This window comes from Homo sapiens, chromosome 6, assembly GCF_000001405.40.
Source record: "Homo sapiens chromosome 6, GRCh38.p14 Primary Assembly".
In the NCBI taxonomy this organism is placed as follows: domain Eukaryota; kingdom Metazoa; phylum Chordata; class Mammalia; order Primates; family Hominidae; genus Homo; species Homo sapiens.
The window spans coordinates 46,444,383-46,460,031 of NC_000006.12; the positions used below are offsets into that span (position 1 = coordinate 46,444,383).

Sequence of the window (15,649 nt, forward strand, 5' to 3'; positions counted from 1 at the left end):
TGGGGAGGGCTACACAGACAGTATCTATACACAATGCTCATCCTAGCTTGAGTATATTCTTTATTTCCAAAAGACATGAGCCCCCCACAGCTCTAGTCATCATGCTGGTACCCATGGACTCAGCATCCAGGCAAGCACCTATGGCCCCAGGCCCCAGGTCAGCCCACAAAGTCCCAGGCTTTAGACCTGCCCCTTTGCCAGGTTGGCAACCCTGGCATCAGTTACCAGGCTAGCACTCAAAGACACAGGTTCTAAGATCCTGCCCAGTGCCAAGCCAGTCCCTACAGCCTCACTTTCCATGCCAGTCCTGCAGCTTCATGCTCCAGCATATTCATGGGCCAGGCCTGCTCCAGCAGACCCAGGGGCTAGGTCCATCCCAGTAGACCTCACTGCTATGCTTCTTCACACAGAGCTAGGCTCCAGGACCACCCCTTGGACCCAGATACCAGGACAGCACCTGTGGCCCCAAGACCCAGGCCTCCCTTCATGTACTTAGCCTCTAGGCCAACAGCTGCATATCCGGCCCCCAGGCTCCACACTTGTCCCAGGTTCCACACTTGTCCTAGCAACAGGGCAGCCCCAGGCCCTTGGCCAGTTCCAGTGTCCCCGGGCTCCAGTTGACACAGGGTCCAGGCCTACCACAGTGCCAGGCCAGTCCCTGTGGACTCAGACTTCAGCAATGTCCCAGTGAACCTAGAAACCAGGTCCATACCAGCACCTAGCCAGCCCCTAGAAAGCCTCTTCAGACTCAGACTCAAAGACCACCCCTGCACCAGGTCAGCCTCTATAAACCCAGGCTTCAGGCCAGCTTCTATAGACTCAGGCTCTAGGCCTGTCCTTATGGACATAGGCTCTAGGTCCACCCCCATAGAACCAATCAATACGTTTATCCCAGTAGATCCAGGCTCCAGGCCTAACCCTATGGACTCAAGCACCAGGCCTGCCCACCTGCTGACCCAGGCACCAGGATAGCCTGCCCAAGGACTCAAGCAGCAAGTTCACCCATGGACCATGCCAGACCAGCTGCTGAGAATCTCTAGATGAGCTGACTAGTAAAGGACTTCCCCAGACAAAGCCAGTCCAAAAAGACAGGAATAAGTCCCTACTTCTTCAAATGCATAGAAACTAATACACAGTCACAAGAATTAGAAACAATCAGGGAAACGTGACAGCATCAAAGGAATAAAATAAAGCACCAATAACCACCCTCAAAATAAAGATTTGTAAGCTGCCTGACAAAGAATTCAAAATAATTGCTTTAAGAAAGCTCACAAAAATATAATAACATACAGAGAAACAATTTAACAAAATTAAAGAACAATAAGCAACCAAAATACGAGATGTTGAATTATTAAAAAAATTCTAGAGCTGAAATATGCAATGAACTAAGTTAAAAATACAATAGAGGGTGTCAACAGCGAACTGGTGAAGCAGAAGAAAGCCTGTGAACTTGAAGACAGAGACAGGTTATTTGAAAATATATAGTCAGACGAAAATATTAAAGTGAATGAAAATGCATAAAGGAAGCTTATGGGATTTATAGGACAGCATCACAAGCAAGTATTCAAATTATTGGAGTTAAAAAGTAAGAGTAGAACAATAAAGGGCCAGGAAATTCAGTTAAAGAAATAATAACAGAAAATTTTTCAAATCTGGAAAAATATACAAATATCCAGGTACAGGAAGGTCTCCACTAAGATTCAGCCCAAACAAGATTACAATAAAATATATTATAATCAAATTGTCAAAAATCAAAGATAAAAAGAGGATCCTAAAAGCAAGAAAAAAAAAAAAAGAAACATATCACACGTAATGAAGTTCCTATAAGGCTAGCAATAGACTTTTTTACATAAACCTTACAGGGCAGAAGAGAGTGGGATAATATATTCAAAGTGATAACCCAGAGGCAGGGTGTGTGTGTGGGTGGGGGTGCTGGGGGGAAACTGCCAACCAAGAATTCTTTACCCAGCAAATCTATCCTTTAGAAATGGAGAGAAAAATACTTCCCCAGACAAACAAAGCTGACAGTTTATCACCACCAGACCTATTTTACAAGAAATGCTAATGGGATTTCTTCAATCTAAATGAAAAGGAGGATGCTAATTAGTAATACAGTCAAGCATAGGAAAGTATAAAATTTGCTGGTAAAAATCAGTACACAGTCAAATTCAGAATACTCTACTACTATAATGGTTCTACGTAAGTCACTTATATCTTTAGTATGAAGTTTCAAAGACTAAATTATAAAAATAATGATAGCTACTATAATTTGTTAAGGGATACATAATATAAAACATGTAAATTGTGACACCAAAAACATAAAATGCGGAAAGAGGAGTAAAATTATTGAGTTTTTTCATGTGATCAAATTGTCAGCATAAAAAAGTCTATTATAACTATAAGATATTTTATGTAAGCCTCATGATACAAAGCAAAACACTTTAGTTGATACACAAACCATAAAAAGTAAGGAATCAAAGCATAAGCCACTATAGAAAATCATCTAATTACAATTTCTCTCACAGTAAGAGAGAAAGAAAGGAACAACAGATCTACAAAGCAACTAAGAACAATTAACAAAATGGTACTAATAAATTCTTACCTATCAATTAATTCTTTGAGTGTAAATGGATTCAATTTTCCAATCAAAAGACAAGAATGACTGAATGGCTGAAAGGGCTTTTTAAAAAAGACCTAACTATACACTGCCTACAATAGACACACTTCACATATATACTAAAAGGGAAGGGAGGGAAAAAGATATTCCATGTAAATGCTAACCAAAGGAGAGCAAGGTAGCTATTTATATTAGATAAAATAGAATTTATATTAAAAAAAGTAGAACAAGACAAAGAAAGCCATTATATAAGTTAAAATGATTAATTTGATAATAACGGTTGTAAATATACATGTGCCCAACATTGGAACATCTAAAAATATAAAGCAAATATTAATAGATCTAGAGAGAGAATAGAGAGAGAGAATAGAGAGAGAGACTGTAACACAATAATGGTAGAGGACTTCCATACTCCACTTTCAGCAAAGGATAGATAATCCAGACAGAATATCAATAAGGAAACATCAGACTTAAACTGCACATTAGACCAAATAAACCTAACAGACATATACAAAAGATTGAATCCAACAGCAGCAGGATATATATACATTCTTTTCAAGTGTACACATAATATTCTCTAGGATAGATCATATTAGAGCACAAAAAGGTCTTAACAAAATTTAAAAGATTAAAATCATATCAAACATCTTTTTAAACTACAGTAGTATATAAAACTAGAGAACAATAACAGAAAGAATTTCAGAAAATTTACAAATACAAAAAAATTTAACAAGATGTTTCTGAACAACTAATGGGTCAAAGAAGAATTTAAAAATATCTTGAGACAAATGCAAATGGACACACAAAATACTAAAATCTAGTAGCATACTATGAGATACAGCAAAATATATCTAAGAAAAAAACTTATAGCAATACATGCCTACATCAAAAAAGAAGATTTCAAACAAAAAACATAACATCATACCACAAGGAATTAAAAAGAAAAGAACAAACTAAGCCCAAAGTTAGTAGAATGAAGGAAATAATAAAGATCAGAAAATAAATAAATGAAATAGAGACTAGACAAATAGTAGAAATTATCCAAAAACTGAGTTGGCCTTTTACAAAGATAAACAAAATCAACAACCCTTAAGCTAGCTTAATAAAAAAATCTGAGAAGACTCAAATAAAATCAGAAATGAAAGAGGAGACAATAGAACTGATACCACAAGAATACAAAAGATCATAGGAAATTACTATGAACAATTATATGCCAACAGTTGGATAACTTAGAAGAAATGGATAAATTCCTAGAGACGTAAAACCTACGAAGACTGAATCACGAAGAAAAAGAAAACATGAACTGACCAATAACAAGTAAAAAGATCAAATCAGTAATAAAATGTCTCCTACCAAAGAAAAGCCCAGAACACGATGACTTTATTGCTGAATTTTAACAAACATCTAAAGAACTAAAACCAATTATTCTCAAACTTTTTCCAAAAAATTGAAAAAGGAATACTTCCAACTGTATTTTACAAAGTCAGTATTACCCTGATACCAAAGTCAGACAACTACACTACAAGACAAGAAAATTATAGACCAATATCCCTAATGAACACAGATACAAAAATCATCCACAAAATACCTGTAAACCAAATTCAACAGCACATTAAAATGATTGTTCACCACAATCAAGTGAGATTTATCACAGAAAAGCAAGAATAATTCAAGAAATGCAAATCTGTAAATGTGATACACAACATTAACAGAATGAAGGATAAAAACCATATGGTTATCTCAACAGAAACAGAAAAAGCATTTGACAAAATTCAACCCTCTTTCACAATAAAAATTCTCAACAATTTAGTTGTCAAAGGAATGTACTTCAATATAACAAAGGCCATATATAACAAACTCACAGCTGACAGCATACTTAACATTGAAAAGATGGAAGATTTTCCTCTAAGATTAGAAACAAGACAAGGAAGCCACTCTTACCACTTTTATTCAACATAATACTGGAAGTCCTAGCCAGAGCAATTAGGCAAGAGAAAGAAATAAAAGGAATCCAAACTGGAAAGGAAGAAGTTAAATTGTCCTTATCTGCAGATTACGTGATCTTATACATAGAAAACCCTCAACACTCCATCAAACAACTGTTAGAACTAATAAACAAATTCAGTAAAGTTGTAGGATACAAAACCAAAATACAAAAATCAGTAGCATTTCTATATACTAACAAGGAACTATCTGAAAAAGAAATTAAGAAAACCAACCAAATTACAAAAGCTAAGAAAAATCAAATACTTAGAAATAAATTTAACCAAGGAAGTGAAAGACCTGTACACTGAAAACTATGAAACATAATGAAGGAATCTGAAGAAGACACAATAAATGAAAAGATATTCTATCTTCAGAGGCTAGAAGAATTAGTATTAATATTAAATATTAACATTTAATATTATTAAAATGTTCATACTACAGAAAGTAATCTATAGATTCAGTGCAATCTCTAACAAAATTCCAATAACATTTTTTCACAGAAATAGAAAAAAAAAATCCTGAAATTTATATGGAACCACAAAGGACTCTGAATAGCCAAAACAATCTTGAGTAAAAAGAAAAAAGCTGACTACAAAGCTATAGTAATCAAAACAGCATGGTACTAACATAAAAACAGGCATGTGGACCAATGGAACAGAATAGAAAGCCCAGAAATAAATCCATGGATTTACAGTCAATTGATTTTCCACAAAGGTGCCAAGAACACACAACGAAGAAAAAACAGTTTCTTTAATAATAATAATGTTGGAACAACTGGATATCCACATTCAGAAGAATGAAATCAGAACTTTAGCTTATGACATATACAAAAATAAATTCAAAATGAAATAGACTTACATAAGACTTAAAACTAAAACTACTAGAAGAAAATGTATGAAAAGAATTGTTGACTTTGGTCTGGGTAATGACTTTTTGGATATGACCCCAAAAGCACAGGCAACAAAAGCAAAAATAAATGGGATTACATTAAACTAAAAGGTTTTTGCACAGTAAAGGAAACAATCAATGGAGAAAATATTTGCAAAGAGAGAAAACATTTGTAAATCTGACAAGGAGTTAGTATCCAAAAATACATAAGGAACTCAAATAACTCAACTGCAAAAAAACAAATAACCTGATTTAAAAATGGGCAAAGGAGCTGAATTGACATTTCTCAAAAGAAGACAGACAAATGACCAGTAAGTGTATTAAAAAGTACTCAACTATGCTAATGATCAGGGAAATGCAAATTATACCGCAATGAAATATCACCTCACACCTGTTAGGATGGCTACTGGAAAAAAGGTGAAAGTGTTGGTGATGATGTCAGGAAAAGGAAACTATTACACATTGTTAGTGGGAATGTACATTGGTACAGCTATTATGGAAAACAGTATGGAGTTTCCTCCAAAAACTAAAAATAGAACCACCATTTAATCCAACAATCCTACTACTAGGTATACATCTAAATAAAATGAAATTGGTGTGTTGAAGAGATATCTGCTCTCCATTATTCATCGCAGCATTATTTATAATTGCCAAGATATGGACTTAACCTAAGTGTTCATCAATAGATGAATGGATAAAGAAAATGTGGTATATATGAAATACCAGTCAGCCTTAAACAAGAAGGAAACCCTGTCTTTGCACAACATGGATGAAAATGCAGGATAGTATGTTAAGTGAAATAAGCCAGGTACAGAAAGACAAATATTACATAATCTCACTTACATGTAGAGGATAAAAATGTCAGACACATAGAAACCGAGAGTAGAATGGTACTTACCAGGGGCTGGGAAGTTGTTGAACAAAGGCTACAAAATTTTAGCTGGACAGGAGGAATGAGTTCAAAAGATCTATTCTACAACATGGTGACTTTAGTTAAAAATAATCTATTGTATTTTTAAAAACCACTAAGAAGGTAGATTTTATATATTCTCCCCACGAAAAAGTAATAAGTATGGGAGGTAATGTATATGTTAATTAGCTCAAATTAGTCATTACATAATGCGTACATATTTCAATACATCATATTGTATACAATAAATGTATACATAATTTTTGTTAGTCAATTGAAAATAAATTATTTAAAAATTAAGAAAATAGACATGAGCATCTTATGGGCAAAATACATTGAATTGCTCACTTTATGGCGTTTCAGATTTCCATGATAAATTCATTCTTCTCTTTGAATATGGAATGTAGATTCATTTTTATGTTTTATAGATCTACAACCTACTGTCTGAAACTCTTGAGGAGTGATATGTTTGGCATTCTGAATTGGGGGATTTGGATGTGTAATACTGGGCACAGGGCTCATATTGTGTAATGTCCCAGCAACATCGGGGGCAGCCCCTAGTAATTAAAGGGAGGAATATTTCTACAGAGAAATAGCTGACTAGTCGAACTACAAGTAGCCTCTTATCAGTTCAGGTCAGATTTTAATGAAGTGATGTTTTGTCTCACAATGGATTGTGAAAAAAGTCTCAGTTTTCAGATGTTCAGATTTTAGTACTATAGATAAGAGATTGTGGACCGGCAGTTGTAAAGTTCAAAGTAAACATCGACATTCTCCTACAAACTAGAGTGAGGGGAACTCAGTAAAAACCACAAATAATCAGATTTAGCTTTGAAAATCCTTTAGGATGCTCTCATAATGCCTGCAATGTTAGACTAGCTCAGCGTTTAGTCAGCTGAACTTGAGAAGAAGAAATTGGTTCAGATTTAGTGGATATGCTGAATGAAAGTGTACATCTTTGAATATTAGAATCACTCTAGCTACTTGCAATGCATTGCAATGATCTATTTACAAGACACACAAAGACTAAGAGAACAGCAGAGCCAGGTCTTTCACCACATGCCCATTCTAGTAGAATATACTCTTTAATGGTTGGCAGAATTACCATCTTATTTTTAAAGAACTGTGTATGTTCATGTGTGATGTGTGTATGTCTGTCTGTGTGTGTAAGGAAATGAATGTAGTTGAAAATATGCTAAATGTCCTTTTGTTTTGGCATCACTGTCAGCATTTATGTTTATTAGTTGTTTGCTTATTTTGAATAGACCACTCTTGGTACATTATAAATTAAATTTAAGCCTATTTTGTTTACCATTGAATCCCCAGAACCAAATATCATACCAGCTTTCAATAAATATCTGTATATCAGGAGGCAGTAGTGCATAATGTTTAAGAACATGAACTCTGTAGTCTGGCAGCCTAGATTTGAATCCTGCCTTGGCCACTACTAGCTTAGACCATGGGAAAAGTCTCTGCTCTCTAGTGTCCTCACCTGAAAAATAGGGATAATGATACTTACACCAATCTAGATGGACTAATTTATACTATAATAACAAACCCCAAAATCCCAGTGGCCTGAACCAACAAAAGTTCTTGTTTGTTTGTTTTTCTTGTTGCATTACATGTTCATGATAGGTTAGCTAGGATTCTATCCTACATCATCAGTGTCCTTACTCCAGGACCCAAACTGCCTAAGCCAGCACTACTTGGCACAATGCCAGTTTCCCTAACAGAACAAAAGGAACATTCTTCAGGGTCCAATATAGGTAAATTAAATTCTTGGCCTAGAAATCACACAAGTCATTTCTGCTTACACATTGGGTAGAAACAGCCAGTAGGGTCCAGGGAATACAATCCTGACACGCACCCAGGAAGTAGAGTTACAGAAAGATACTACCCTCATAGGGTTGTCATGACAAGTAAAGGACTCATGTTTATAAAGCACCTGGAAAAGGACCTGGCACCATGCCAAATGCTATATAGGTATTTGCTGCTGATGTTATAATTATTAATAAATTGAATAAATACATATTTTGGAGAAATACCTAATGTAGATGACGGGTTGATGGGTGTAGCAAACCACCATGGCATGTGTATACCTATGTAACAAAACCTGCACGTTCTGCACATGTATCCCATAACTTAAAGTATAATAATAAAAAAAAGTCACCTTTCAGGTTTCTTCTTATTCAATTGAATTTGGCTAAACATTTCAGTCATTGCTTCACTGTTCCCCTTTAGCAAGCAGTGCATTCCAATGTCCTACCCAGCAGACCCTTATGTGTCTTTAGCATAGACACAGGGCAGCTCAAAGGACAACCTTCCTAGCCTCACCTTCCTCAAGATGACTTCTGCAGCCCAGCTGGATCCCGAAAGATGAACCCAGGGGAGTGCTCTGAAGAGAAATGTACCCTAGTAATTTTCAGGTGTTGGACACTGTGAAGATCACAGTTTTAAATGTGTTTCATACAAAAATATTTATACTTCAAGCTGTAGCACGCACACAGCAATCTGCATTTATTGGTTTCAGATGCCAATTTCCTCCAGCTCCGGTTCTCCTTTGTGTTATATAAACAAATCTCAACCATCTGGACCACAACAAGCCTCACTGAAGTATGTGCTCACTCATTGCAAAAGCATGAAATCAAAATACAATCTCACGGAATTCTGCCTAACTGAAAATTGGAATGAACATTACGGACAACACAAAGCTGTTTTTTAACATGTGCTTTAGGTGTCAGAACTTAGAATGTAAATAGGACAGCAGAAATGAGCATATCAGAATATTTATCATTTTGCACAGAACAAAGTGATACAGAAATAAACAGATCCAGATCACATCCTGTGCTGTTACCTATATTATGAGAAGTTCAATTCATAAATTTCCTCAAAAATGAAAAGGTATCTCAGACATGTAGGAAAATAGAGAAGAGAATGCTGCAAGACTCATTTGTGATAGAAAGCAAAAGGTTTAATTCCTACCCAACTATGGAAGTTAAATGTATACTTTATAATAATTGCAAGACAAAGGCTAAACTTAAATGCATCAATATCAAGACACAATGATTTCAGAAGCAGGCTGTGCCAAAAAAGAAAAGACTCTGCCAAAACAAATTACATATGAAACCACCGACCCTCGTAAACCTTGGAAATGAAGGCTAAGCATCATTTCTGATGTCTCCACCCCCTGCTATAATTCCAGGCTGCTGAATACATCTTCCCAAAGCCAAATATAAAAACAATTACCATGGCCAGCCTTGCCCATAGGCCAATACAAGGAGTGCTGGAAATGCTTTTTGCTTCTTTTCCCCCTGCCTAAAAATATCTCCCCACCAACTTATCACAGTGCCTAAAATGTCCACCCTTTGTGGAAAATACCCATCATCAGACTTCATGGCTCAGATTCACGAAACCTAAACCTTGTGGAAAGAATATTCTGACAGAATGGAGTATGATACTTAATGTCTTAAAATAAGTGATTTTATCATAATAGTTTTTTAAAAAGGAGGTTAAATGAAAGAAATATGAATTTCTGGGTCTGGAAGAGAAATATGCAGTGAAAATGAGATGCCACAAGACTCCCCACTTTTTTTTCTGGAGTCCCAGCAATCATGCCTCCTGGCTATTGTCAACTTATCTGGTATCTGATTATCTTGTTTTGTCACCTTAAACTATATAGATATAATTAAGTCAAAATTAAATCCATGTCAGATTATTTGGTATCCTAAAGACTGTCCACAAAAGGAAGAGTAAAAAAAGAAAAAAAAATCTTGCTGAGGTAGGACACTTTCTGATTTAATAAACTGAATTACATAGACTTCAGCCAATTATAAAATTCACCTCCATGGCTGTAAAATGGTGATCTAAATCATTTGAAACTGAGTGCAATTAACTATATTCTTGTTTATTTTGCCTCAATATTTTATCAAGGTCATCCTAAAACCAAATACTATTTCCCAAACTGCTATGCACAAACTTCGTATACACATTAGATGAGAATATCTTGTAATCCTTTATTCAATCACAAATCAGAATATCAAAATAGATGTGTACAGACTCCCATGAACTCCCCCCTCCAGCCCCTGTCCTTCTATGTCCTCAGTTCTAATTCAGTTAATCAGCCATTCTTGAGCAGCACTGCTAAATGAGATTAGCACCTTCCTAGGCCTCATTGTTTCAGTCTACTGGGAAGTATTTAATCAGGAAAGAATGAAAACCCTCATTAAATCTCTAAGGAAAATCCTTCTAATTGTGATATTTAGAGAAATGGATGATATGATGAGAATACATAGACTGTTGCTTTATAGTTTATGGCAGGTATATTTCAGAGGAAACTACTTGCCCTGAGAAAATTATCATTTGTGATAATCTGGTTATAATCCAAGAACAAAATTCTCAGTTTCTTCCAAAGAAGAAATTGGCATGTGCCACTTTCTTACTTTAAATAGTCTGATGATCATAGCACTGGAGGTTCTAATTATATATAATTCCTTGTATTTCAAGCTATTTTCAGCCCATAATTTCAACAGTTCAACTCCACACTGATATCATTATAAAAATATCTTTAAATGGCTTAAAATAATTCCTAATCCTCTGGGATGGTTTTGTCTGTGGCTATCAGGATTGTCTACAAAATCAATCATATCCGTAAATCAGACTTCCAGTAATTATGCCAGACACAGACTTCAGCAATGGGCAGAAAGAGCTAAAGTCTGTGAAACAGCAACCATAAAGCCTACTCTTATACCTCACACAGAGTCATATACTTTAGTTTAGAAAAAAAAAAGCCTCAGCCGGGCGCAGTGGCTCACACCTGTAATCCCAACACTTTGGGAGGCCGAGGCAGGCAGATTACGAGGTCAGGAGATCGAGACCATCCTGGCTAACACAGTGAAACCCCATCTCTACTAAAAATACAAAAAATTAGCTGGGCGTGGTGATGGGCGCCTGTAGTCCCAGCTACTCAGGAGGCTGAAGCAGGAGAATGGCGTGAACCCAAGGAGGTGGAGCTGGCAGTGAGCCGAGATTGCACCACTGCACTCCAGCCTGGGCAACAGAGCGAGATTCCGTTAAAAAAAAAAAAAGAAAGAAAGAAAGAAAGAAAAAGAAAAAGAAAAAAAAAAGGCCCTTTATCCAAAAAATTTTGTCCATGTTTCAGTAGTATAATAGTGGCTTTTACAACTAAGAATCTACATCTACAAGGGAAGGTTTAATCCATTTAGATACCCCATTCAAAGGTCAGAGAAATCTGAAATAAACTTTGGAAAGGTCTCCAAATGGAATATTTACTGTGATTGCCAAAAACATTTACACTAAGTTAAGTCTGTTTCTTAAAATGGGAAGCTGGAAAATGTTAATACATAGACAACCTCATTCCCCTATCATTTCAAATTGAGGAGTTGCTGCTTCATTCAAATTCTTACAACACACACATGGCAATACCACCATGGTATCAATGAGCAAAGAAGGACTCAGATGCCAACCAACTTACCTTCTCTAATATCTACTGTGAGACTTGGCTCACAGTTTAAGAAGGCTTTTTTAGAACATTCGTCAAGCTGCGGGAAGGCTGGAGGTAAAATGGAGTTTGTATTGTTTTGAGAAAGGCAAATTATATTTATGGCAGAATAGAGGAAAAGGAAACTTTTAGGAGTTTAAGACATCTGCTTCCTAGCCTAAGGGGCATTTCCTACAATCCATATTAACACCATTTGTTTTGCTAGATAGACCTGTGAGTCACAGAGGACTCAATTTGATTCAACATATTCTCATCTACAACCCTGTCAGATGTATCTCTAAAGTTAGTTGATAATAGAATGGGATTTTCTTATCCTGGTACACATGCCAAAAATAGAGCCAACTAAACATTTCCAAAAACTTCAAAACACCAACCACAAATGAACAACAGGATTACTTGGAGATAATGCCATATCTCCCCATGTTTTAGGAACAGAAAAAGGCAGCTTACCTTGCTCTCTTCTCCTTCAAACACTGACTGGTGAACATTGCACGCAAACAACGAGTTGGGGAGGTCATTGAAGTCAGTGATTGCTTGAAAGGCTTCTTCTGCAAAACAACGAGTGACAGCCCAGTCCCTGTCTATGCAGCACAGTAAGAAAAGTCCTCCATCTTCAGGGACGTGTCCCTGCTGCCCTGGGCTCCTCATTCCGATGAAGTATGATTCTCCCCTCATTCCTGGGGATACAAAGATGAGCATGTGTTACTGCAGAACAAATTCCTTAAAACTCAGTTTTCGGGTCACAGTTTTGTATTGTCAGGGGCAGAACAGTGGAGTACGATTAGGAGCAGAGGCAGGGGATATTGGAAGGGAGAAGATCTGCAAGTTCACATGGTTCCCTTGATCCCTGAACCAGAATTTCCCATACAGCTCTGCTCTGGGGCAAGAACCGAGTCAGTACTATGGTTTTTTAAAACAAACAGACAAACAAATAGGTATAGGAAATGGAGATCACCACCACTACTACCAATGTCTATCGTGTATTGAGTTCCAGGCACTATTCTAAATGATTTATATAAATTTAGAACATCAATTACATACATTAACTACCTTATTTAATCTCCACAATAGTCTATAAGGTTGGTACCAATATTTTCCCCAATTTACAGATGGGAAAACAGGAAGAAAGCAATTAAGTAACTTTTACAAGACCACTGACAAAATGGCAGGGCTAGGATTCAAACTCAGGGAAACTGGCACCAGAGCTCACTCTCCTATGCCACAGGAATGAAGCAGATCAAAATAAGTAGAAGCCTATATTTAAGAAAGTATGATCTACTTCATCAGCACCTGAATCCTGATCATGATAACTCTAACAGGTAATAGTTCATCCTGTGAGAGTACAGTGAGAGTAAACACACCACACACACACACCTCCCAGATATTTCCTCTTCTGACTGAGATAATTACTTCAAGTCATTTGTGAACCAGGTCCAGATCCTAAAAAAATCAGTGCTATCTTGATCAATCCATGGTGCACAGGTCCCCGTCCCTCCTTGCCTTGTAAGGCTTTCCAGTATTGATTTCACCTAGCTGTGTTCAACCCTTCTATTATTTTTTCACCCCTTATATTTGCAGTTTGCCTAACTGCAGAGTTTTTCCATTTTTTTGATACTGGTACATAATTTAGTGGATTAGGTCAGTATCCCCATATAGTCCAAGGCTGGTATCTACTTTCTTCTTTTGTACCGATTTTCATGACTGTGATACTATTCTGCTCAAAGCTCAATAGTTAAGAGGCTCGGAAAGTGAAATAACTTGCTCATGGTTACGCAAGTAAGACTGACTGAAAATTATGACATGGCTACTGAATCATCTTCAGGAAGCTCCATGTTCTTCAGTCCCATCATCACAGATGCTCAGAGCAAAGGACAGAAAGGTGGGTACCACTAAACATCAATCTGCTCTCATGAAGTTTAGCTAGATACAAATTCCAGATCCCCAGACAAAATATCAGTTTCTGCTTATCTCTCTCTTGAACTGTGAAATAAACCCTTGAACCTCATAGTGATGAGGTTATGTTTTTTATTTTCATTTTTCCTAGAAAAGCCCCAATGAGAGTTGGTAAGCAGCATTTTCTGGCAATAATGCATTACATATAAAATCTTAAGCCCGGTTGAGGTAGGAGCCAAAAATTAAATAGTTTGAGGTGATATCTCTAAAATCAAATCATCAAAATTGTGGTAAGTAAAAATTTCTATATAAAATATAATAAAACAATTCTTGCACTCCAAAGTTCTTCAAACTCCAATTAGCGCATTTCCATATTTAAATCAACAAAATACTTATTTTAAATAAAAATATGGTACATGTTTTATTAAATAATCTAAAATATATGAATATTTTTAACTAGAAGGAAAAACATGTAATAGCATTAATATAAAGGGAATTGAACTGCTAGACAACTTCAATGAAACATGTGCATGTATTTTCTTTCATATTTATTTATACTGTTGCTTGAATATTTTAGCATAAAACACCTAATTACCGTCATTTATTAGAGTATCAATTGTTTTAATAGTAAAAATATTTAGTAAAAGCATCATCAAAACACTAGCATTTTCATTAATAGTTTACAGGAAAACGCGCGCGCACGTGTGTGTGTGTGTGATGGAGTTTTGCTCTTGTCGCCCAGGCTGGAGCGCAATGGCGCAATCTTGGCTCACTGCAACCTCCACCTCCCGGGTTCAAGTGATTCTCCTGCCTCAGCCTGGGCCTTCCAAGTAGCTGAGATTACAGGCACGTGCTACCACGCCCGGTTAGTTTTTGTATTTTTAGTAGACACAGGGTTTCACCACGTTGGCCAGGCTGGTCTCGAACTCCTGACCTCAGGTGATCCACCCACCTGGGCCTCCCAAAGCGTTGGGATTTCAGGCATGAGCCACTGCACACAGCCAGGAAACTCTTTTGATAATGAAGTCATAATCATTCAGCAGCATACAAATAGATGCTGTGTCAATTTGAATTTTATTTTTAATCTCATCCCTCTTATTTAAAATATTTTAAGTGAATCAAAACATTATAAAACACTCTTAGATGTGTTGTAAGAATGTTTCAATTATTATTTTTCCAAAAAAAATCTAAAATCCATTGCCGAACAAATTAATTAAATAGATCAAATTTTAAGCTTAACTCAGGACTCATTTTAATCTACTCAAATAGCCTTAATTTCTATCCTAAGCTGTAACAATATTATCTTCATGAGATTTTATTTTAAGCTCATTACTTTCAGTAAAGATTTAAGGGTGAATGCATTTTTGGCAAACAACCTACTTTACTTACATGGAGAAATACTTTAGAAGTCAGAGCTTTGAACAAAGAAATTCTAATTTCTCTTTCTAGTTTCATTACTAACTCACCCCATAATTTGGAGAAGCCAAGTGATCATTCTGGAACTCAGTTTATCCTTGTAAAACAACAACAAAACAACATTGAACTGCCTCCTTCTGCAGAGTAAGGGGAGGCAGGGGAATGAAACAGGAGCGGAAGACGTGATCAAAATCAGTATTAACCACTACATAAAAGAATATGTAATATGCAGTTTTGCAATACTGTAATATACAGTATTGCAATTTTTACTGCATGAACTATGCAGTAAAAACACATCGTGATAATTTCAGAGCAAGGCAATTATGCTTCAGTATTGCCCAAATAAACAGAAGGAAATTCTGAAGATTAAGAGAACTTCCCAATAAAGAAGTATAAAGGTCCCACAGCTCAAGTTAACTGG

At 36.2% G+C, this 15,649-nt stretch overlaps 1 protein-coding gene across 4 annotated transcripts in view, besides 2 other annotated features; it reads right to left on the bottom strand.

Annotated features, from left to right (window-relative positions):
- Positions 1-15,649, bottom strand: part of RCAN2 (regulator of calcineurin 2) — a 271,235-nt gene that overhangs the window by 223,647 nt on the left and 31,939 nt on the right. For all 4 annotated transcript variants that reach the window (NM_001251973.2, XM_024446301.2, NM_001251974.2 and 1 more), the window contains exon 2: positions 12,370-12,596. In NM_001251973.2, coding sequence (NP_001238902.1) covers positions 12,370-12,594 — 225 coding nt within the window. In that variant the 5' untranslated portion in view covers positions 12,595-12,596. The remainder of the gene's footprint in view (positions 1-12,369; positions 12,597-15,649) is intronic.
- Positions 14,091-14,591: an enhancer, noted in NCBI's record as "H3K4me1 hESC enhancer chr6:46426210-46426710 (GRCh37/hg19 assembly coordinates)". NCBI's record gives its function as "activates a minimal SCP1, AML or CMV promoter by ChIP-STARR-seq in primed H9 embryonic stem cells {active_cell/tissue: H9 hESC(primed)}" and the evidence as "EXISTENCE:reporter gene assay evidence [ECO:0000049][PMID:30033119]".
- Positions 14,592-15,092: an enhancer, noted in NCBI's record as "H3K4me1 hESC enhancer chr6:46426711-46427211 (GRCh37/hg19 assembly coordinates)". NCBI's record gives its function as "activates a minimal SCP1, AML or CMV promoter by ChIP-STARR-seq in primed H9 embryonic stem cells {active_cell/tissue: H9 hESC(primed)}" and the evidence as "EXISTENCE:reporter gene assay evidence [ECO:0000049][PMID:30033119]".